The sequence below is a fragment of the Homo sapiens genome, chromosome 10, assembly GCF_000001405.40.
Source record: "Homo sapiens chromosome 10, GRCh38.p14 Primary Assembly".
NCBI classification, from domain to species: domain Eukaryota; kingdom Metazoa; phylum Chordata; class Mammalia; order Primates; family Hominidae; genus Homo; species Homo sapiens.
This window is the reverse complement of record NC_000010.11, coordinates 91,693,920-91,716,662: the sequence shown is the minus strand read 5'-3', so window position 1 is coordinate 91,716,662 and position 22,743 is coordinate 91,693,920. Positions and strand designations below refer to the sequence as shown.

General features: G+C 39.0%; 1 long non-coding RNA gene across 1 annotated transcript in view, besides 2 other annotated features; it reads left to right on the top strand.

Moving 5' to 3' along the window:
- Positions 5,508-6,009: an enhancer, noted in NCBI's record as "H3K4me1 hESC enhancer chr10:93470411-93470912 (GRCh37/hg19 assembly coordinates)". NCBI's record gives its function as "activates a minimal SCP1, AML or CMV promoter by ChIP-STARR-seq in naive H9 embryonic stem cells {active_cell/tissue: H9 hESC(naive)}" and the evidence as "EXISTENCE:reporter gene assay evidence [ECO:0000049][PMID:30033119]".
- The window catches only part of LOC107984253 (uncharacterized), a 30,274-nt gene continuing 17,720 nt past the window's right edge, over positions 10,190-22,743 (top strand). The window contains exon 1 of the long non-coding RNA XR_001747550.1: positions 10,190-10,244. This is a non-coding gene — a long non-coding RNA (uncharacterized LOC107984253). The remainder of the gene's footprint in view (positions 10,245-22,743) is intronic.
- Positions 15,317-15,611: a silencer, noted in NCBI's record as "tiled region #15620; HepG2 Repressive non-DNase unmatched - State 21:Repr". NCBI's record gives its function as "represses a minimal TATA promoter and a strong SV40 promoter by Sharpr-MPRA in HepG2 cells {active_cell/tissue: HepG2}" and the evidence as "EXISTENCE:reporter gene assay evidence [ECO:0000049][PMID:27701403]".

The following is a 22,743-nucleotide window of genomic DNA, read 5'->3' as shown; positions in this document are numbered from 1 at the left end:
ATTCCTCTTTAAGATTTGAAAGAAAAAAAATCTGTGAAACCACATGGGACTGTAACCTGGTATCATTGGGGGAATATATTTTGACACATTTAAAAATTTCTCTCTTTGGTTATTATTCTATGAAGTTTATCACCTTTTCATAGAAGATTTTGTAGTATACATATTTCCAGAATTGTTTTGTTAATAGAGACTTTAAAAATTTATCTACGTTTGTGTCTCCTTTCTCATTTCTTATATTGTATGTTTGTATAGATTCTCCTTACCTTGATTAGACTTACCAGAGGTAAGTTTTATTGGTCTTCTTTAAAAATAAACCATCTTGGACGGGCATGGTGGCTCATGTCTACAATCTCAGCACTTTGGGAGGCTGAGGCGGACAGATCACTTGAGGTCAGGAGTTCGAGACCAGTCTGGCCAACATGGTGAAACCCTGTCTCTACTAAAAATACAAAAATTAGCCAGGCGTGATGGCAGGCGCCTGTAATCCCAGCTACTTCAGAGGCTGAGGCACAAGAATAGCTTGAACCTGGGATGCAGAGGTTACAGTGAGCCAGGATTGTGCCACTGCACTCCAGCCTGGACGATAGAGCGAGACAGTCTCAAAAAAAAAAAAAAAAGAAAAAGAAAAAAGAACCATCTCTTAAACTATTTAATACTTTAAATTGTTTTATTTCTGCTGTCAGCTGCTGTATTTTTTCTTTCCTCATATTTCCCTTAAGCTTGTCTTGTGGCTCTTTTTATGGCTCCTTGAAATGATGTGTATTTAACTTATTTTTATTTTTTTGTTTGTTTAATTATAAATACTTGAGACTTCACATTTCCTTCTGAGTACTTTTCTGAGGAAAAGTTTAGATAACTAATGTTTTACTTATTTCCTAAAGAATTTTTAACTGCAGTTTTATACTCTTTTTCTGTTCCAATCTACTTAAGATGGTGTTTTATAACCCCAAATTGTTTATTTTTTGTTCATTTTAAAAAATTAATTGCTAGTTTATTAATTGTATTGTGGTTAGGAAATGTAAACTGTACAATTTTTAGTTTTTAGAACTTATGATTTTCTTGTTCACTAGGATGTGATATAGTTTAAAGTTCATGAGATACAAAGTGTGATATATATATTTATTAACACAAAGTTTTAATTATACTTTTATAAACTATGTTTGCTTTTGTTAATTAGATCTATTCTGAAAAGAGGGGTATGTTAAAGCCTATTATAGTTCTAATTTTTCACTTTTCTCTTTATTGCTAGAAACTTTGGCTTTATCTATTTTGATGCTATGTTATTTGGTGCATGATAATTCATACTGTATTTTTGGTATGGCTCCTTTTTATCTATCTAACATGACCCCCTTTCTCATTTAAAAATTCTTTTTGGCATAAATACTGTTTTGTCTAATATTAACATAGTGAGGGTCCCAGATGACCTTAAAATTTGTTTCAGACATTTTTACATGAAGCTGACTAGCCAGTAAGATCAGGCATGTCTTTTGCTACAATGCCTTTTGCTATGTGAATGGTTGCCTTCCATTGTTTCCAGCAGTAATATAATATGTTTTCTTTTGTATTTTTAAATTATTCCAATGGGAGTAGATAAGTGAGTAGTAATCTGATTCCCATATCAGACTAGAAACCCCAGCCTCCAGGCTTGGTTTTTTGTGTAGCCCATCCCCTGCATGGATCCCCAAGCATCTTTCTAAAATGCACATCTAATCCTGTGTCTCCCTGTGTTAGTCCATTCTTACACTGCTGTAAAGAAATACTCGAGACTGGGGAATTTATAAAAGAAAGAGGTTTAATTGACTCATAGTTCCACGTGCCTGGGGAGGCCTCAGGAAACTTACAATCATGGTGGAAGGCGAAGGGGAAGCAAAGACCTTCTTCACGTGGTGGCATGAGAGAGAAGTGCAAGCAGGGGAAATGCCAGATGCTTATAAAACCATCAGATCTTGGAAGAACTCACTCACTATCAGGAGAACAGCATGGGGGAAACTGCCCCCATGATCCAATCATCTCTCACCGGGTCCCTACTTTGACCTGTGAGGATTATGGGGATTACAATTCAAGATGAGATTTGGGTGGGGACACAAAGCCTAACCATATCACCCCCAAAAGGCTTTAGTAACTTGAGGTTCTTCTTTGTGTCCAGTATAATACTCCTGACCACGCCAGACTCATGGCACTCCAGTTGCCCTGAATACATGGCCCTTTCCTGATGCCTCACCTTTGCACAGGCACTTGTCTCCTTCTGGAGTGCCTTTTGGCGTATTTTTCACCTTTAAAAACAAAGTCCTCCTAAATTCCATTCATCCTTGATCCAAGTCAACTGTATTTCTGGATGGAACCCTCCCACTTCCCCCAGGCACAGTAACTTTCTTCCTTTTCTGTGTTATCATGTTAAATGGTTTATGCCTCTGCAGCAGTGGTTAAAAGTGAGGACCCAGGAATTAGGCTGTTCTTAAACTAGCTGTGTTACCTTGGGCAACCTAACCTTACCAAAACCCCACTTCACAGGGTGGTTGTGAAGATTAAATGAGAAAATGCATGTAAAGGGTTATATAGTGCGTGGCACATAATAGATACTTGGTAAATGTTAGCTTCACTATTATCATTCTGAATTTTCATCTATCTGCTTTTATATTTCTATGTCCTTCACTGTTCCGTGAGTGCCTTCAAGGTAAAGGCTCTATCTTAGTCACCTTTGCATCCTCCAATGCCCAGCACAATGACTAAATAATCATTTGTTAAATGAATGATTGACCTCCTACATACTACACTTCTGTGTTTGGGGAGGCAATCTTCCATCACATAAAACTCCCACTCTCCCCTAATTGCACCTCAGCTGAATGTTCAACTCCTGAATAAGCAAGAGTTGACATTGCTTTAAGAAATAATTGTAGCATACTTAAAAGATCTGTGGTTTTCCAGAATTCAGAAGTTCAAATTTAGATGTGTTGTCCACAAAACAGCTGGAAATGTTTATTTTCCATTTTAAACATGTAGTTTATGGTTAAACATACAATTAAATACTTGGAAAAATGCAACATGGCTTATTTAATTATTGGCATGAATAGATGGAGCATTTCATAATAATATGGCAACAGAATAGAAGTTAGTTTTTTGATGAAAGGCACTATTTTGATACAAACTATAAATAAATATGCAGTTCTCCCTAGTTGAAGATTATACCACTTGGTGTTTGGTTTGACTGATTTTTAAAGGAGCAGTACTGGGTTTAGGATAAGCTGCCCATACTCTTTTATCCATATTAAAAATAGTGAAGATAATACTAATAAAAATAATAGCTGCTGCTATGTACTGTATGCCTACTATGTGCCAGACATTGAGCTAATATTTTGCATTAGTTAATTTTTGTTATGACAACAACCTAGCAAGGCATATATTATTATCTCAGTTTAACAGATGAGGAAACGGAGGCTTAGCAGGTGTATTAGTTTCCTGTGGGTGCTGTAACAAATTACCACAAACTTGATGGTTTAAAACAATAGACATTTATTCTCTTACAGTTTTGGAGGTCAGAAGTCAGACCTCAGGGTGTCAGCAGGGCTGTTCCTTTTGGAGGTTCCAGGGGAGCATCCTTTCCTTGCCTCTTCCGGCTTCTGGGGGCTGTTGCATTCTTTGGCTTATGGCCGCATCACTGCAATCTCTGCCTCCATCTTCATATTGCCTTCTCCTGTGTGTGTGTGGTGCCTATTCTCCTTCTGTCTCTTTCTTATGAGGTCACTTGTAATGGCATTTAGGTCCCATCTGGGTAATCAGGATAATCCACTCAGACCAAGATCCTTAAGAACTCACACCTGCAAAAATTTACTACATACGGTAACATTCACAGGTTCCAGGGATTAGGATGTGGACAAATTGTTGGAGTCATTATCAGCCTACTTCAGTAGGATTAAGAAACGTGACTCAAATTCATAACCAGTAAGTGGCAGCTGTGAGAGCTGAACCCTAATCTATTTGACTTTAGAGTTTGTAGTCTTTGCACCATTTCTCAAAGTAGGCATTTGTAAGATAGCTTTCTTATCAGGAAGCAGTGATAGGCAGTGGTGATGGGACAGAGACAAAAGAGTTCAGAAGCAGGGATTCACCCGTCAGCGGGGGAGGCAGTGTGGTGATCTATTTTCTCTTTGTTTCAGTTTCTTTATTTAAAATGGTAACTCTCCAGAAGGACTGCATAGGAAGAGGGCCAGATCCTCTGGGGAGATTCACTGGGTCTTACCCAGAGTGTTTCTAATAAAAAAGCCAAGTGTCAGGAAGCCTCTGTGGGGACCCTCGGTTTTGGCAGGCAGGCAGCGTTCAACATCCAGGAGGACTGAGAATCACAACAGAAGAACTTGTGATTGTGGTGGCTGAAATGATCTTATAATAATCCTTAATGATATACTGTTTTTCTCCCTGATCCTATTTTTTGTTTTCTATAAGGTATGGTTTGGCCATAAGGCCAGAAAGATTTCACAGGCCTGAACAAAAATTCTGCCAGGAACAAAGACACTATGATTGTCTCCTAATGTTTGGTTTGGATCATTAACTAAGCCAGTGAGTATGAAACTAGAATGTTTTTCTGCTTCAATTCACAAACTCTACACAGATCCCAAAGGGTGTCTTATGGCCTGGTTGTCATCTTGCTGTGTCTAGCAGAGCTGATATTAGGAACACATGCAAATTTAGATTCTGTTTGATTTTTAAAGTAATCATGTCACAGTTTCCAGAAAAAAAGTTGTTTAAAAAGCCCATATTGTGAAGAAAGTGAAAATATGTCAAATTAGGTACCATGTAGATGGAAACAGTCAAAAGGAAATAACTTAATTTGAAAAGTCACTGCTCTCAACTTTAGGTAGTGTCAGTTTTAAATAACAGAATGTTAAAAAGAAAGCCTGGAAAAAGGTACATATGCTATTTATAAAATAATAGTACAACAAACATCCATCTCCCCTTTCCTGGCAGAAATGGAAAGGTCACAATTAAGTAGAAAACCATTGTGTAACTCCGGTGGAGAAAAGCAGAGAGGAATATTTTTATCTTACTATTGCCAAGGACTAGCCATTTTTGGATCAGTCATTCCTGATCAAAACCAAAGACTTCAGAAAATTAGATATTTAACTTTTACTAGCTATAACAAAGAGCATATACAAAAACAAAAACTTGGGGACAATTTATAAGCTTTTAATATTTAAACCTTTGCATAATAGTTAAAAACCTTTGGATAACTCATAGACATGGTTTTCAACATTTTATTCTGAAAGCTTTAAAGCATATAGAAACATTGAAATAATTTACAGTGGGCATCTGTATACCCACCATTTAGATTAGGGGTTGGCAAACCCTAACTTGGCCTGTGGGCCAAATCTAGTTGCTTGCCTGTTTGTTTATTTGTTTGTTTGTTTTTGAGACAGAGTCTTGCTCTTTCGCCCAGGCTGGAGTGCAGTGGCACAATCTCGGCTCACTGCAAGCTCTGCCTCCCGGGTTCACGCCATTCTCCTGCCTCAGCCTCCTGAGTAGCTGGGACTACAGGCACCTGCCACCACGCCCGGCTAATTTTTTGTGTTTTTAGTAGAGACGGGTTTCAACATGTTAGCCAGGGTGGTCTCGATCCCCTGACCTCGTGATCTGCCCACCTCGGCCTCCCAAAGTGCTGGGATTACAGGCGTGAGCCACTGTGCCTGGCCCACTTGCCTGTTTTTGTAAATAAAGTTTTACTAGAACATGACCTTTCTCATTAATTCAGATATTGTCTCTGGCTGCTTTTGCACTACAATAGCAGGCTTGAGTAGTTTCCACAGAGACCGCAAAGATTAAAGTACTTAACAATCTGACCCTTTACAGAAAAAGTTTGCCAACCCCGATTTAAATGATATAGTTAACATATTGCTGTATTTGCTTTATCGCCTATCCATCCATCAGGCATGATAAACTTATTGTTAACAGTGAAAAAAATATAAGATAGTTATTTGGCGGTCAGACTCATTCCTGAAACAGTTAAGGATTATTACTATAAGTAAAAATTCCAAGAGAAAAAACTAAGTTCAAAAACGGGAAAAATCACTTGACTTTGCTATTTGTCATTATCATTAGGCTTATTCTCAGCCATCATGTGCAATAACATTAGTTACAATGTTAGATGCAAAAACCAGATTAACTGAATTTCTGAATTTTACTTTATTTCTGCTTGGATTATATTGATTTATTTAGGTTTTCATCTCTCAAATTGGAGTACTTAGTGGCTTTTTATCAAGGCAATATTTACATTCCAAGAGACACACTTCCTCAAAAAATTGGGTAAAATTAGGTAAATTATTATTTATGAAAATTATTATATATAATATGTATTATATTATAAAAATTAAGTGAAAATGAGTAAAAACTAAATTTTAATTAAAAAAATTTTTTTAGAGACAGTTAGAGGTTTTTGCTATGTTGGCCAGATTGGCCTTGAACTCTTGGCCTCAAGCAAGCCTCCCACCTTGGCCTCCCAAAGTGCTAGGATAATAGGCATGAGCCACTGCGCCCAGCCGTTTTTTACACTTGAATAGTATAAATATATATTGTTGGTTAGTTGTTAATGAAATTGATTTGTGTAGTTAGGAGTGTTACCATTTGTGCATTAAAGTCTAAAAGAACTAAAAGAGTCCTTTCTATGCTGAAGAGAGAGTTAGAGTTCTAGGTGTTTTGGGGAATGTGAAGATGGATCAGACCAAGAGTCTGTCCTCAAAGCATATAGTTGAGTGTCAGCATGACTACTGTAAGACAGCAGAGAGTGTTTCTATTCAACATCGTAAGAGTACTGTAAGTGCTGGGGGAACAGAGGAGAGGTGAGACTTATGTTTTATTCTCCTGGATAGGTGAGTTCCTGAAAGAAACAGCATTTGATATGGGTCTTTGAAGACATTCAGAAATGAGGGGAGGAAAATGAAGAGCAGTCTTTGAGAAGTAAGATTGGGAGAACATTTGCAAGCATTTGGCTTTTTGGTGGAATATACAAAGCTTGTGAAATTTAAACACACTTATGAAACCCGTATAGGGTTTTCATTATCATTGGCTCCTAATGACCTGTAATCATGTGACAACTTTTAGTAAAACAAACAATAATCTTATGACATTGTGGTTTACTGGAGGGTAATTGCTAATCATTCTCTTCCTGCTAGCACATTAGCTGGTTAGGTTCTTGGCAGTGATACAATTTAAACAATCATTTGCCATGTAGTACATTCAATGGCTTAAATGAGTTAATGCAATCTCCAGTAAAGACATTGCTATGAATATGTCTTAAGAAAACAATTAAAAAGTGTAGATAAATATTTAAGTGTGAAGATAATCATATTAGTTTGGTACAAAAGTAATTGCGGTTTTGCACCAGCCAAATAGTATTATTTATATGAAACACTGAAAAATATAACCATGTTTAATGTAGAGGGACTGCTAAATAAATGATGATACTGCAGTGTAATAAAATGCAGGTCATAAGTATTAGTTTTTTGATACATTGTTAATGATACAGGAAATGGTAATGGTCTAATATTTCAGGATAAAAGCCATATACAAAGAGATAGCTTATAAAATTGTATAGCATGTGCCCAATTTGGGATCTAGTACTTACTCTTAACAAAGGAATTTCACCTGAGGAAATAAACCACAATAATTTGGGAAATGAAAAAATAAGAATAAGAATTTTGCCAAGATAATGTATGTTTTCCATATAGGAAAATATATTTAAAAAATTTATCCTGGGTTCTGGTGACATGGCTGACTGAAATACCACCATATTATCTTCTTTCATCACTTCCAACACATATAAATATAAGACAAAGTATTACAACAAAAAATTTAAATTTTAAACTTACAACAAAGTGAGAGAACTCTCTTGGTGCAAAAAGCAATGAGGAAATGTGAAGCCAGCTGTGTAACTTCATGAGCCGATGCCACAGTGGCTCAGGAAGATATGAATCTGGAAGTAGACCCATGAGACTAGTAGCTAGGGATTGAATGTCTGTTTTCATTTGAGGACAGGAGGTGTGGGCTTGGACCCTTGTAAGACAGGAAACTAGTTCTGAGAGCTAGAACACTTAAATGGCTGCACTGTAGGTAAAATAGAACTAGAAGCAGTTTGTTTGCTTACTCAGGGAAGTGATCCAAAACATCTCTCCGCCTTAGAGAAATCAGAGACCCAGCTTGTGTCTTGTGTGAGCGGAATTCACATTTATATTTACCCAAGTAGTCCTAGAATTCTCAAGCTAAGAAATAACATAAACATAGGTAACAACCCAGTGCAACTTGTGGAAGCAAATACCAAACCTCTCTGTAGCAACTCTTCTGTAACACAGGTCCCTCCTACCTACCTCCCACTTGCCCCCTGACCAAATCCCTCCTGGAAATATGCTCACAGTAAAAAATACAAACCCATAAGGAAGAAATACTCCCAGAGGGAGAGTTAACAGACCAAATGGAATGAGTAACCCACATATTTGAGATCAGTGAGCTAAAGGATACTATAAAAATATGTTTAAAATGATAAAATACATAAAAGGCAGCACCCCATGGCCAGTCAAGCTGACACGTAAAATTAACTGTCACAGTCTTGAACCCAGACTGGTGTGTCAACTCTGCACTCCAGGCTCCTCTACTCAACTTAATCACGGTAGTGAGAGGACTCACCAGGAAAGTAGAAGGTGAAGTCTTCTGAAGGGGACAGAAGAGAGGGCCTGTTTTTGATGCTGCTACTATCTGGATTCTGATATGAGGAATTACTTGTATTTTCAAAAGAAATGGGCTAAGAGCACATTGACTACAATGGACTTAATAAGGTCTTTGAAAGGTGCAGTTTTTAGACTCCCTTATCTAAAAGACCCATACGTCAACAAGGCTGTCTAACCTTTAATTGTTTAGTTTTTAAGACTTAAATAATTGAAATGTTTAAGGAAACAAACAAATAAGACCCAACACTCATTATGCTCTTTTGATTATGTCATTACTCTGGAGCTTGACCTCATTCCTTTCTTGGATTATACCCTTTTGGGAAAAGTGTATCCTCACGGGTAAGAAAGTGTGCCACCAGGAAACCTCTTTTCCTTTTCCCCACTCACATCAGTTCCTTGCACTTGACCAGCCTGATGCTTCATCAGGATGAACTGAAAGGAATCTCTGAATGACAAAAAGGGACACAAGAGTAATCCACTTAGAAAACTTCAGGCACAGTTAATCCTCCAAGAATGACCTCAAAGTAAAACAACAAAACAAACAAGCAAAAAGAAGTGAGAGTTTTTTGAAAACATTTGTTGGTCATTACAATCTTTTGCACCTAGTAATTTACACGTGCCATTTGTTCACACAGTCAGTTAATAGTGCCAGTCATTGCTCAGCTACTGGGCATTTACCAGTGAAGAAAACAGACAAAACCCCTGACCTCGTGAAGATTACTCTGTAATTGAGCTGGACAGAAAAGAACTAAAATGAATAAGGAAATTTTATAGATGTTAAAATATGATAAGTGATATCTAGAGAAATAAAGCAGAGGGAGAATTTGCTATTTTAAATAGACTGCTCAAGAAAGGCCCCACTAAGTAGGTGATATTTGGGCAAAGACCCAAAGGAAGAACTGAGAGAATGAATCATGCAGATATCTGAGCAGAGTATTCCAGGTAGAGGGATCTGCGAGTGTAAAAACTGAGCACAGAATCTATGATGATTAAAAAAAAAGAATATGGAGGACTTATAATAAAATACAACAGACCCTTGTTCCATCCTTTTTTCTGGCAGCATCAATGCCCAAAGGTGATTGTCTTATTTCTTTTTAATTGTTTCTGGTTTTAGTTCTGTCACTTACTTCCAGATCCTAATTAATATACACATATATCTCCATCTTGATTTATCAGTTTTAAATGTTATCTGTTAACCTCCTGCATCAGATGAGGATTTTGCTCATATCATTCTGCCTCCTCTCCTTATTCCATCCTATATTTGATAGATATACATGAGTTTTAGTCATGACATTAGCTACTATTATAACTTTAATGCACTCAGACTTCTATTTCTGGTTCCACTGATTTTGTGAGGAAAGAACTGCTGCAATAGGGGAGTGAAGACAGATCCCTGGGGTTAGGCAAAGGTCAGAGGTTTGGACATGGGCACAGAGTCCAGAGCCTTTGAAGAGACACACAGAGTTCAAAGCTGCTCAGCATCTGGATTGGCCTCCAAGGACAAAGATGATGAAATGTCAGTACCGTTGATGAAATGTGAGTACCATTGGTCAAAGTGCAAACTGAGATTAAGAGTGGGAAGTTCAAGTGGGCTTGGGTCTGGTGTGGGGGACCCATTCATGGGAAGACTAGAGTTTAAGGATAAGAAATTTGAATATCTGGAGAGACCAAGGTACTGGGCTCTCTTCCATGAGCTGAGAAGGAGTGCTCTCCTCATGGCAAATTCTAGCTCTTGGCTGAGCAGCTTTGAACTCTTGCGTTTTTTGCCATTAAAAGCAATGGCAAAAACCTCAATTACTTTTGCACCAACCTAATACTTCCTCTCTTCTGCTCTAAATTCCAAGAGGGCTGCCCTGTACACTGCATTTCCTAAGCTTCTTTGCCAACTGGCTTCTGTCTATGTTTTATCCATGGGGAACCCAGTGGGGAAGTTGGAGAAAAATAGAAAAAGAGAAATCAGGGTATTCCATTTCCTATTTCTCTGATTCAGAGGGTGTCTTGAGTTTCTAGTTTCTGTCCTGTTGCCCTGGCTTCTGGATTTTGATAATATGGTTGTAGCAACCTCCTGCTGTTGTGAATCCCTGAATTATCTCATTTTCCTTTGTTTGGCCTCTCAACTTTTCCAAAACATTTTTAACTGGTTCTCTAAAGTAACTTACCTCCATGGAACCACCTGGCGTGGGCTCCATTTTCCTGAGTGGACCCTGATTAATATATGTTCCAAACACTGAAGACATTTTCTTATTACTGAAATAAACCTACTGCTTCCTAATTAGTTAATAAAGATAGTACTACATTTTAGGCTGATTCCTTATGATTATTAATATTTTTTAAAGCCTTAACCTTTATTTTCCTTCCTTTCAGTGTTGTGTTTTCACACATGATTATTGTCTAGTGCCTCTGACACACTCTAGCAATGGCACCTCAGAAAAGAGGCTGGACACTTTGACTTTGGTAACTGTCAACCCAGATGGAGTAGGGCTAATGGTGATATGCACAAAAAGTGTTCTTGAACATAAGGACGATTTAGATGTAAATAAATCATTTGAGCATATGGCATCTACCTAGCTGTTCCTGGAGATAAAATTGGGGAACTGTTGACTAAAATATGAACCCTATAATTACAAAAGACTACCAGATAACTAGTGAATTAGCAACATAATTCATATCTATTAGGAAGTTCCAGAGAAATCATGGCAATTATGGGCTGGTAAATTATTTTCACAGTAATTCTGGAAGGTACAACATTTCTGGAAGATAATTAGGCAATATATATCCTAAATCTTCAATGTGTTTAACTGCATTTTCACTGCTAGAAATTTATCCTATAAAAAAATGGGTTTATGCTTTCTCATTCCATTTCATTACAGTCTAATTTCTGACTGAAAGAAAAAAATTCACCTATATCTACATCAAAAGAGACTTCATTAAATATATTAAGATATATCTATACAATAGAATAATACACAGTAATAACAATGATGTGTAAGAATAATAATGATATGGGGAAATGTCTATGATTTATTCATAGGTAAAGTAGCAAGTTAGGTGATTTTCTTTTTTTCTATGTGCTTGTCTCTTTTTTTAATAGTCTAGAATAAGTTTATTTTATAGATAGGTAAACAAAAATGAATATTATAAAACTTGCCTTGAATTCTAGTTTTAAAAGTCAGCAACTGGTGGTTTTTTTTTAACTTGATAATTATGGAATAGAGGACATGTTTTGTCGTGGTAGCGAATCTCATTAGAGTTAAAATACCCAGGGTTTCACTGTACTAGGAAACAAAGGGTAGGGCAAAAAAGTGACTCTGTTGCAGATAGAGGTTTGCAAATTTTGTTAAGCATATATTTTTCCAAATCATTTTATTAAAATTTGAAAAACTAGTAACCAAATCAGCATGGTACTGGTACCAAAACAGACATATAGACCAATGGAACAGAACAGAAGCCTCAGAAATAACGCCACACATCTACAACCTTTGACAAACCTGACAAAACAAACCTTTTTGACAAATCTTTGATAAACAAATCTTTGATAAACCTGACAAAAACAAACAATGGGGAAAGGATTCCCTATTTAATAAATGGTGCTGGGAAAACTGGCTAGCCATATGCAGAAAACTGAAACTGGACCCCTTCCTTACACCTTATACAAAAATTAACTCAAGATGGATTGAAGACTTAAAAGTAAGACCTAAAACCATAAAAACCCTAGAAGAAAACCTAGTTCAGGACATAGGCATGGGCAAAGAGTTCATGACTAAAACACCAAAAGCAATGACAACAAAAGTCAAAATTGACAAATGGGATCTAATTAAACTAAAGAGCTTCTGCACAGCAAAAGAAACTATCATCAGAGTGAACAGGCAACCTACAGAATGGGAGAAAATTTTTACAATCTATACATCTGACGAAGGGCTAATATCTAGAATCTACAAGGAACTTAAACAAATTTGCAAGAAAAAAAACCCCATCAAAAAATAAGTGAAGGATATGAACAGACACTTTTCAAAAGAAGACATTTATGCAGCCAACAAACATATGAAAAATGGCTTATCTTCACTGGTCATTAGAGAAATATAAATCAAAACCACAATGAGATACCACCTCACGCCAGTTAGAATGGCGATCGTTTAAAAGTCAGGAAACAACAGATGCTGAAGAGAATGTGGAGAAATAGGAATGCTTTTACACTATTGGTGGGAGTGTAAATTAGTTCAAACACTGTGGAAGACAGTGTGGCGATTCCTCAAGGATCTAGATCCAGAAATACTGTTTGACCCAGCCATCCCATTACTGGGCGTATACCCAAAGGATTATAAATCATTCTACTATAAAGACACATGCACACAATTGTTTATTGCAGCACTATTCACAATAGCAAAGACTTGGAACCAACTCAAATGTCCATCAATGATAGACTGGATAAAGAAAATGTGGCACATATACACCATGGAATATATGCAGCCATAAAAAAGGATGAGTTCATGTCCTTTGCAGGGACATGGATGAAGCTAGAAACCATCATTCTCAGCATACTAAAACAGGAACAGAAAACCAAACACCACATGTTCTCACTCATAAGTGGGAGTTGAACAATGAGAACACATGGACACAGGGATGGGGAACATCATACACTGAGGCCTGTTGGGGGATGGGGGCCTAGGGGAGGGATAGCATTAGGAGAAATACCTAATGTAGATGATGGGTTGATGAGTGCAGCAAACAACCATGGCACGTGTATACCTATGTAACAAACCTGCACATTCTACACATGTATCCCAGAACTTAAAGTGTAATAAAAAAATTTGGAAAACTACATATTACTCTCATAAACCATTGTTATTGACATCTTCTTGAAATGTTTCCCAGTCCTTTCTTTGACAGCATGAAAGTTATAATGTACCTTTGAATTGTGTCTCTTCATTTAACACTGTATTGTGAGCATTTCTGTGATTTGGGATTATCACAGCATAATGACTGCAGAGTATTCCAGCAAGGGGGACAGTCACAGAGTGCTAATTTAGTGGTGGGACTCTCTCATGGGTCAGCGCTATGATGAGACAGCACATTCCTTAGTGACCTGGAAGAGGCCCCACTTCTGGTTTCCCCTGGCTGTGTGGTAAATAATAAGCTAAAGGTGACCCGTTGAGGAGGTGTCTTGCAAACTGTGTTGTGTGACAGGGCAGGAGCACAGTGGGTTGATATCAGCTTGGATGTGAGGTTCTGCCCTCGATGTGTGTTCAGTGACCCAAGGAAATTTGTCATATGATCAATGTTCCAGGAGGGACGCTGCTCATTTCTTCCCTCTGCCTGGATTACCATTGCTTCCTCTTTCTGCTTGAGAATTCATCCTTTAACTCCCAAATGGCTAGAGTCATGTTCCTCTGCCCTGTGCACCTGTGAATACACTTTCCTGTTATTCAGGGGCTGAACTCTGTTCCCCGTCTCCTGATTAATATGTTGAAGCTCTAACCCTCAGTAGCTCAGAATATGACTGTACTTGGAGATAAGGCCTTTAAAGAGTTAGAATCATTAGAAGAATTAGAAGAGTAGAGTTAGAACCAGGTTTTTAGGATGGGCCCTAATGCAATATGACTGGTGCACTTATAAGAAGAGGGGATTAGAAAACAGACCCACACAGCCAAAGGATGACCATGTGAGCACACAACTGGAAGGCAGCCAATTCTCAGGACGAGGAGAGAGGGTTCAGAAGAAGCTAAACCTGCCAAAACCTTGATCTTGGACTTCTAGCCTCCAGAATTATGAGAAAATAAATTTCTGTTGGTTAAGGCACTCAGTCTGTGGTATTTTGTTGTGGCAGCCCTAGCAAGCAAATCCATGGATGGGAGAGAGGACTAATAAATGGGCCAGGTAGGGGCATTTATGGCAGCAGAGTAGCACTTAATTCTTGGCCTCCCTCTCTGACCACCTTACTTCATTTCTAAAATGGAGCATTTGGATAAGATGACCCATCTGCAAGGCCCCTTTCAGCATTGACATTCTAAGCTTCTGTACATCATTTGATTTTCTGTTAGTTATTTCTTATGCAGGTTAAAGCAGCACGCTCTCAATAGATTTGGCTCCCGTATGATCTGTTCTTATGCAGCCAGAGTGTTTGCACAAATCTGATTCTATCACATTAACATTCTGCAAGGGCTGCCCATCTCCTTCAATGTGAAGTCTGATCACCTCAGCATGGCCCACATGGCCTTTCCTTACCTGGTCCATGCCCTTCTCCAGACCTCGCTTCTCCATCCTATCCCCACCTGCCCTCCAGCCATGCTCAACTGTGAGGAACTCGTAGTTCCTCAACACACCATCATCTCTAACACTCTGTGTCTTTTCATGTGCCACATTTCCTACCTAGAATGTTCTCCCCTCTCCTCCATCTTGGTTAGTTCTACTCACTTTTAAGAACCGACTCAGGCACTTTCTTCTTGGAAGCCTACCTGCCCCATCTTTCTTCTCTTCCACCCTCAATCCATTTGGATTAAGCAGCTTTGGATCCCTTTAGCTCCATCATAGCCTTGATCACACTATTGGATAAAGCGGGGGTTCCAGTATTTGGTGCACACATAAGTACCCTTTGAAAAGAATGCTGATTATAGCAAGAAATAGGTCATATTGGAGTCTCTAAATTGGAAGAGTTGGTATTGCTTGTCAGAAATTTGGCCTAAAATCAAGTCTTAAAGAATACATGAGTCAGAGGGCAATGTGAGGCAGTGAGTCAGAAAATACGCAGACAGCAGATTTTCTATCAATTTGCCAAACATTTATTGAGCATTGTTAGAAGCATGGCTTAGTGCTGGGCAGAAATTGGGACTTAACACTGAGATGCCACCATTCAGAGGAACAGTAGCGAGTTAGAAATGGCCTGATCACCCTTGCCCCCTTGGGAAGCGAGGGGCCAGGTAGAGAAGAGTGTGGGGGAAGGTCAGCCTCCCAGGTGTGGGTCCCAGGGACTGAGACTCTGGAGGAAGTGCTATTTACCTGGAGCTTCCAGTGTTCTGAATCCAAGGTTTGCACCAAGACAAGGAAGAGATCTGCGGCAGATATTAAGAGATAGAGCATGCAGCCTTGGGTTTAAAGAAAGGGGGTGGTTGGGCAGGTACAACTCAGGAGACCCAAGTTGAATTCCTGCATCTGCCACTACTAGTTTTATGACATTGGGCAACTTATTTAATAAATTAATTAATTTTGAACTTCTATTTTTTAAATCATGAGAAAACTCATGTCTACCTTGCCTGCTTCTCAAGATTTTTGTATCAAATGAGAAATTGTCTATGAAAGAACTCTGCAAGCTACAAAACCTGGGCACAAGTAAGATGCTGTGAATGAGAAGGGTCCATTCTGCAAAGGGGCAGGCACTGGGGCCGTGGCCTTCCTCGGCCTGCAGGGGCAGGCAGAGAAGGGGTTGCTCTTGGCCAGAGGGAATACGTGGGCAGATCCTGGCAATGGGCACTGGCAACAAAACTAGGGTTGCTGGCATTTATGAGCATCCATCTCAGGAATGACATAATTGGGCTGGGAAAAGTCCAGGACTAAGTGCTGAAGGGAAAGGAGCACGTTCTGGGAGAGAATACATTGATGGGATAAGAACTCCCCCTCATAGAAAGAAAAAGCTTGAGACTCCGTGAATGAATTCAAGATAAGTGTTAAGTCAGCAATGGTAAAATAGAATGGAACAGTAAAGAGGTAAAGTTCAGGAGGGATTTAGATGTTCATGGATGATAAAATCGAAATGGATTATTGAGCAGCTTGGAGGACATCTAGGGTAAATTACCACCATGCAGTCTCCGTTATGAAGGATTCCCAAGCTTTTTCAAAATAGCCTTTTGTTACCTCTTGTGAGCCTAGGGTTGGATAGCTGCTAAGTCTGATGTCTATTTTTCAAATTCTATTCACTAACAGAAGTTTTCTGCAATGCTTAGTGCATCTGTAATTTCTACTGTAATATCTATAATTCCTGCTATGTGGGAAGCTCTGTGAGGACAGAGATTAGGCTGGTCTTATTCACAGCTGTACCCCAATGCCTGGCATGGCTCCTGGCATATATTGGTACCTAGTCAGTATTGCAAATTGAATGCTGTTTTACCAAGAGTGGCTATTGGGATCCTTCTTGTCCAGAGGAGCTGCCCCTTGAGGACTCTGGCAGCCAGGGCTGGCAGAAGAATTCTAACATTTCCAATGGAGATGTTGGGGCTGGAGTCTGGCTCCATGAGCTTTGCCTTGAACTATCCACGCTGCACACTCAGCGGGTCTGCCTTGTCGCCCCATGTCTGACTCTCATTGTTTTCAGGTCCTGCTTTCTTTTGCCCTGTTTGTTGTGTTGGAACCTCTGTTTTCTGTTTATGAGCACCAGTGTCTTTTCCTGCTCAGGCTGCCATAACAAAATACCATAGACTGGGCAACTCAAAGAGTAGACATTTTTCTCACAATTCTAGATGTTAGAAGCCTGAGGATTAATTAGGGTGCCACGGTGTCAGGTTCTGATGAGGACCCTCTTCCTGGCTTCTCACTGTGCCCTCACATGATGGGGCAGGGGAGAGAGGGAGGCAGAGAGTAACCTCCTGGTGTCTGTTCTTATAAAGGCACTCATCCCATCATGAGGGCCCCATTCTCAATACTTCATCTAAACCTGTCTCACGACTTCATCTAAACCTAAGTAACTTCCAAAGGTCCCATCTCCAAATACCATCATACAGGAGTTAGGGCACCAACATATGAATTTTAGGGGGACACAATTCAGTTCATTTCAACATAGTCCATAAATCTCTAAGTTGATGGCCTGTCTTCTTGGATTCCTTTCTTAGTCATCTGACTTCTCGGATCTAGGCATTTGCAAATGTCTTCCTTGGGAAGCCCTAGTGGCTCAAGCCCTAAGCCCAGGTTTGGGGGCAGGTGCTGCTTTCTCCCTGGCCTTGGGGACCAGGGGTTTGGGCATTATTCCAAGGGTCCATGGTCCCAGGGGCACCAGGGCAGCAAGGAGAGGAGAATGAGCAGAACCTAAATCAGTCCCTTCTCTTTGCCTGAAGAAGGAGCTGCCCCGAGGACAGATGCTCACTTGATGAGAGTGGGGGGCTTCTAGAGGACCGTTATCTGTCCTGGATCAAGCGCTATCTTTCCAGCAGCATAGCCACAGCCATGTGTACAGCCTTCCCCTCCCATACAGCCAGATGCCCAATTTGTCTGGGTCTCTACAAGAGCTAGAAATCATTGTGGGCCTGTGGGCCACCATTGTTTTGGGGAGGCTGTGAACAGAGATTCTTAGTGCCCTCATCAATAGGGCCAAGAGGTTGGTAATTGTTTTGTTCCTACAAGGAGCCTCACATATGAAAGCTATCATGGGCTCCTGGACAACATGCCCCCACACAAGCCTGCCCCTGGCAGAATGCAGCAAGACCCAGTCTTAGGCAGAGCCTCTTGGGGTCCAATTGCCCCAGGAGAGCTGGGCCTGGTCCATGGCCTATGACTTGGCCTGGAGCTAAGCCATCCTCTGTTGGTTCCACAAGGGCCTGGCTGGGATGAGCTGTCATGGACCCCCAGGTTTCTGGTGGGAAAGGAGGTTGGCCGCTGTCTGCATTTACTCATTGGTTCTCAAATCAACGCTGTCCTCACTAGGGCCTTACGCAGCCTCAGCAGAGGCCTGGGACTCTGGCTCCTTGCCTGAGTTCCTGCAGCAGTAGGAAAACTTCATGGCCCTGGGCTTCAAGAAGTTTTGTCTCTAAGGTATCTGAGTAGGAGAAGAAGGCTACCAGACAAGGTTGATGGCAGCCCAGCAGTGCTTGTGGCCTCTGCCTGGCAGGCGCATATTTGATTGTTCGATGAGGAAAGGTCTCCCCAACTCCAGAACCGGAAAGCGAGCAATGATAATAATAAAATAATAAAAGATGAACATTTATCAAGTATTTCCCATCTGTGCCAGAAAAGGGCATCTTGTACTTGATACTCTGACTAAAGTCACCAGTATTGGCCTCTGTTTTATAGGCAAGAAAACTGAAGCACAGCTGTGGATTAGTAACTTGCCAGGGGTCACGCAGCTGAGTGAGAGGCAGGGCTAGAATTTGAACAGAGGCAGCCCATGCTCTTCCCCACCATGCTACCCATCCTGGTCAGAACACTACCCTGGCCCTGCTCCTCGAATCCTCATACTCTTTCCTCCTTATTGGAATGAATTGTCCTGGGAAATCTTGGACATAACCACCTTCATAGAAACTCAGAATGGTGTGTATTTGAGCAGGCCGAGGCTGAGTTCTTGGCATACATCTTTTCCCTGTGGATGCTCCAGAGTGTCCCAAGGTTCTGGAATGTCAGGCTGTGGGCTATGCGGTAGCTTCTGCAGCATCTCACACTTCCCCACTGTGCAGCTAGACTGGCTCAGGGATGGTAAGTGCACCTTGCCCCAGCCAGGCCCGAGCATCTGGGATGTCAAAGGCACCTGTTCCCAGTCTGGATGAAAACATTTTAAAATGCTACTTGTCTTCAGATTTCTGACCAGAAAGGTTCTATATTCTTGCCAGTGGAATGTGAGAGCATCTCTTCCTAAATACTTTGCTAGTACAGAATGTTATTTGAAAAACATAACTATTAAAACATATTTCATTATTATTTTGATTTGCATTTCATTATTATTAGTGAGGTTAAGCATTTCTCCTGTTTATTAACTGTAACATTTCTACTTTTTGTACATTAGCTATTTTATGTCCTTTAATATTTACATTGTTAGTGTTTTTCTTACTGACTTACAGAAGTTCTTTATGTATCAAGAATATTGTTTCAGGGCTGGGCACAGTGGCTCATGCCTGTAATCCCAGCACATTGGGAGGCCAAGGCAGGAGGATCGTTTAAGCCCAGGAGTTGGAGACCAGCTTGGGCAACATAGCCACGGCCTTGTCTTCTGAAAGAAAAAAAAAAAAGAATATTGTTTCAGACCAGAATGAAGAGTTAGCAAAATTCTAAAAAGTTTTAAAAAGAATATTGTTGTTTCAAATACTTTTCCAGCTTGTGATTTAGTTTTATTAATGACATTATTTTGAAGTATAGTAATTAAAAAATTGAATGGAAACAAATATATTCATTATAATTTTTAAAATTTAATTTTTAAATTTATAATGACATAATTTTACATATTTATGGGATACAATATGATGTTTCAATGCATGTATACATAATATAATGATTAAATCAGGGTAGGTAGTTACCATATCTATCACCTTAGACATTTATCATTTTTTTGTGGCAACAATACTCAAAATATTTTCTTCTAGCTATCTTGAAATATATACTGCATTGTTATTTGCTATTGTCTTCCTGATGTATAATAGAACACAAAAATGTATTCTATCTAACTATAACCTTGTACCCATTGACCAGCCTCCCCCATCATCCCTCTCTCTTCCCTTCCCCAGCCTCTGGTAACTACTATCCTACCTTTTACTTTTAAGGAATTAACTTTTTAAGATTTCACATATGAGTGAAATCATACAGTTTTTGTTTTTCTGTGCCTGGCTTATTTTACTTAACACAATGGCCTCTAGGTTCATCCATGTTGCCACAAATGACAGGATTTCATCCTTTTTTATGGCTAAATAATATTCCATTATATATATACATACACCACATTTTCTGTATCCATTCATCTGTAGATGGGCATTTAGGTTTATTTCATATCTTCACTTTTGGGAATAACATTGGAATAAACATGGGTGTGCAGGAGTTATTGCGATATACTGATTTCATTTCCCTTGGAAATATACTGAGTAATAGAATTGCTGGATGTATGGTAGTTCTATTTTTAATTTTTTGGGTAATCTCCATATTTGTTTCCATAATGGCTGCACTAATTTTCATTTCTACCAACAGTGTGTAAGAGTTTTCTTTTCTCTGCATCCTTGTTAGTTTTTTTTTTTGTCTTTGATAATAGCCATTCTAATTGGGGTGAGGTAATGTCTCACGGCAGTTTTAATTTGCATTTCTCTGATGGATTTGTGGTTTTGAGCATATTTTCACAGATCTGTTGGTCATTTGTATGTTTTCTTTTGAGAAATATATTTTCAGGTCTTTTGCTCATTTTAAAATGAGATTATTTGGGTTTTTTTTTTTTTTTTTTTTTTTTTTTGCTATGGAGTTGCTCAAGTTCCTTATATATTCTGGATATTAATCCCTTGTCAGATGCATAGTTTGCAAATACTTTCTCCCATTCTGTAGGTTGTCTCTTCACTTTATTGTTTCATTTGCTGTGCAGAAAGTCTTTAGTTTGATGTGATCTTATTTGTCTATTTTTGCTTTCCTTGCCTGTGCTTTTCAGGTCTTATTAAAAAAATTCTTGCCCAGTCTAATTTCATGAAATGTTTCCCCTATGTTTTCTTCTAGTAGTTTCATAATTTTGGATCTTACATCTAAGTCTTTATGTTTTTTCCCATTGTTATGTTTAGAAAATCATTTCCCACCCAGCAATATGGCATAATCACCTATGTTTTAAAAGTTTGAATTCTACATCTTTTTGTGATCCATATAGAATTTATCTGTGCATGAGCTGAGTCTCAAAGCTGACTTTTCCCCAAATAGTTAATTTCTAAACTGCCATGTATTTGATAATTCATGTTTCCCACTTGTTTGTGATGCTTTCTTTATTATATACTAAATGTTTTAGAGCTTGGTGTACATTGCTGGATTATTTACTCTGTTTAATTGATCTGTGATAATTTCTGTGCTAAGACCACATTAACTTATGTCAGCTTTATAGTATGATTTCATGGCTAACAGAGTAGAACCTTCTCGCAACAGTTCTATTTAAAAAATTTTGCAGCTGATTTTTCTTGTTGATTCTTTTATATATGTTTAAACTTTATTTGGCCAAAATAAAAAAAATCCAATTGAATTTTGCTTGCATATAGGGGAAGAATTGACTTTTAAAAAAACTAACCAGAAATAGCATGCATCTTTTTAAAATAAAATATTCGATATATCTCTCAATAATATTTTTTATTTAGATATTTTTGAATGAGTAAATGAAGCAGTAATTTGGCTTCCTGAAGTGATGAATGGAGTGTGGAAACAGAGTTTCATTGAGTATAACAAAAGACTTGGTGAATGAGTTCTTGGAGGTCTTGGGTTGTATCTTACTTTCTTCTCTAAGCACTTTTCCAAAATTACCTGACTGATCCATACCTTACTTGTTTCTCTGCTTGTGACTCCCAAGATTACCAACTTTGCTGCTCATATCACCAATATAGCTTTTCCTCAGACCTTTAGTTCTTTGAATGTTGTCATCTTTTCCAATCCCAATGCAGAATACTCCCTTGGCTGTGCTTTCAGCTCTTAGGTCTCGTTATACGTTCATGGACTGTCTTGGGTAATGTTTTTCCAGGCTTAACCAGGCACCTGGAAACATCCCACCTCTATTCTGTTCTATATATGCTCACTCGCTGTGTCCCAAACTCATGGGTTATACCTGAACAAACAAGTACAAGTACAAGTCAACCAAACAAGGATGAAAATGACCTTGTATCCTTTACCTTTTCCAATAAAACTTCTCTATCAGTACCTGCATGTCCTACCTTCTTCCAGTAGGAGGTGCTGGTGCCCTCTATTTGTAGACAGTTTATCACTTACTTGGCTCAGTGTGGAATGAATATTCCTGCCATAAACCTGTAATATACCTGGACACCTGAATGTACACAGAGACAAACAACTCTCCCTATGTTCTTCTCTAGTTCATTGACTAGCTTTCCAGCTCCCTGCTGACATTGGAGTTAGAAAAGGATAATAAAGTTGTCTATTATTAATAATATGTATTGAGTTTCAAATGTATAACAGATGTCTCATATCACAAGCTAGAGACATTTTATTTATCTGATATGGTTTGGCTGTGTCCCCATCCAAATTTCATCTTGCATTGTAGCTCTCATAATTCCCATGTGTCATGGGAGGGACCCAGTGGGAGGCAATTGAGTTATGGGGGTGGGTCTTTCCTGTGCTGTTCTTGTGACGGTGAATAAGTCTCTCGAGATCTGAAGTGTGTGTGTGTGTG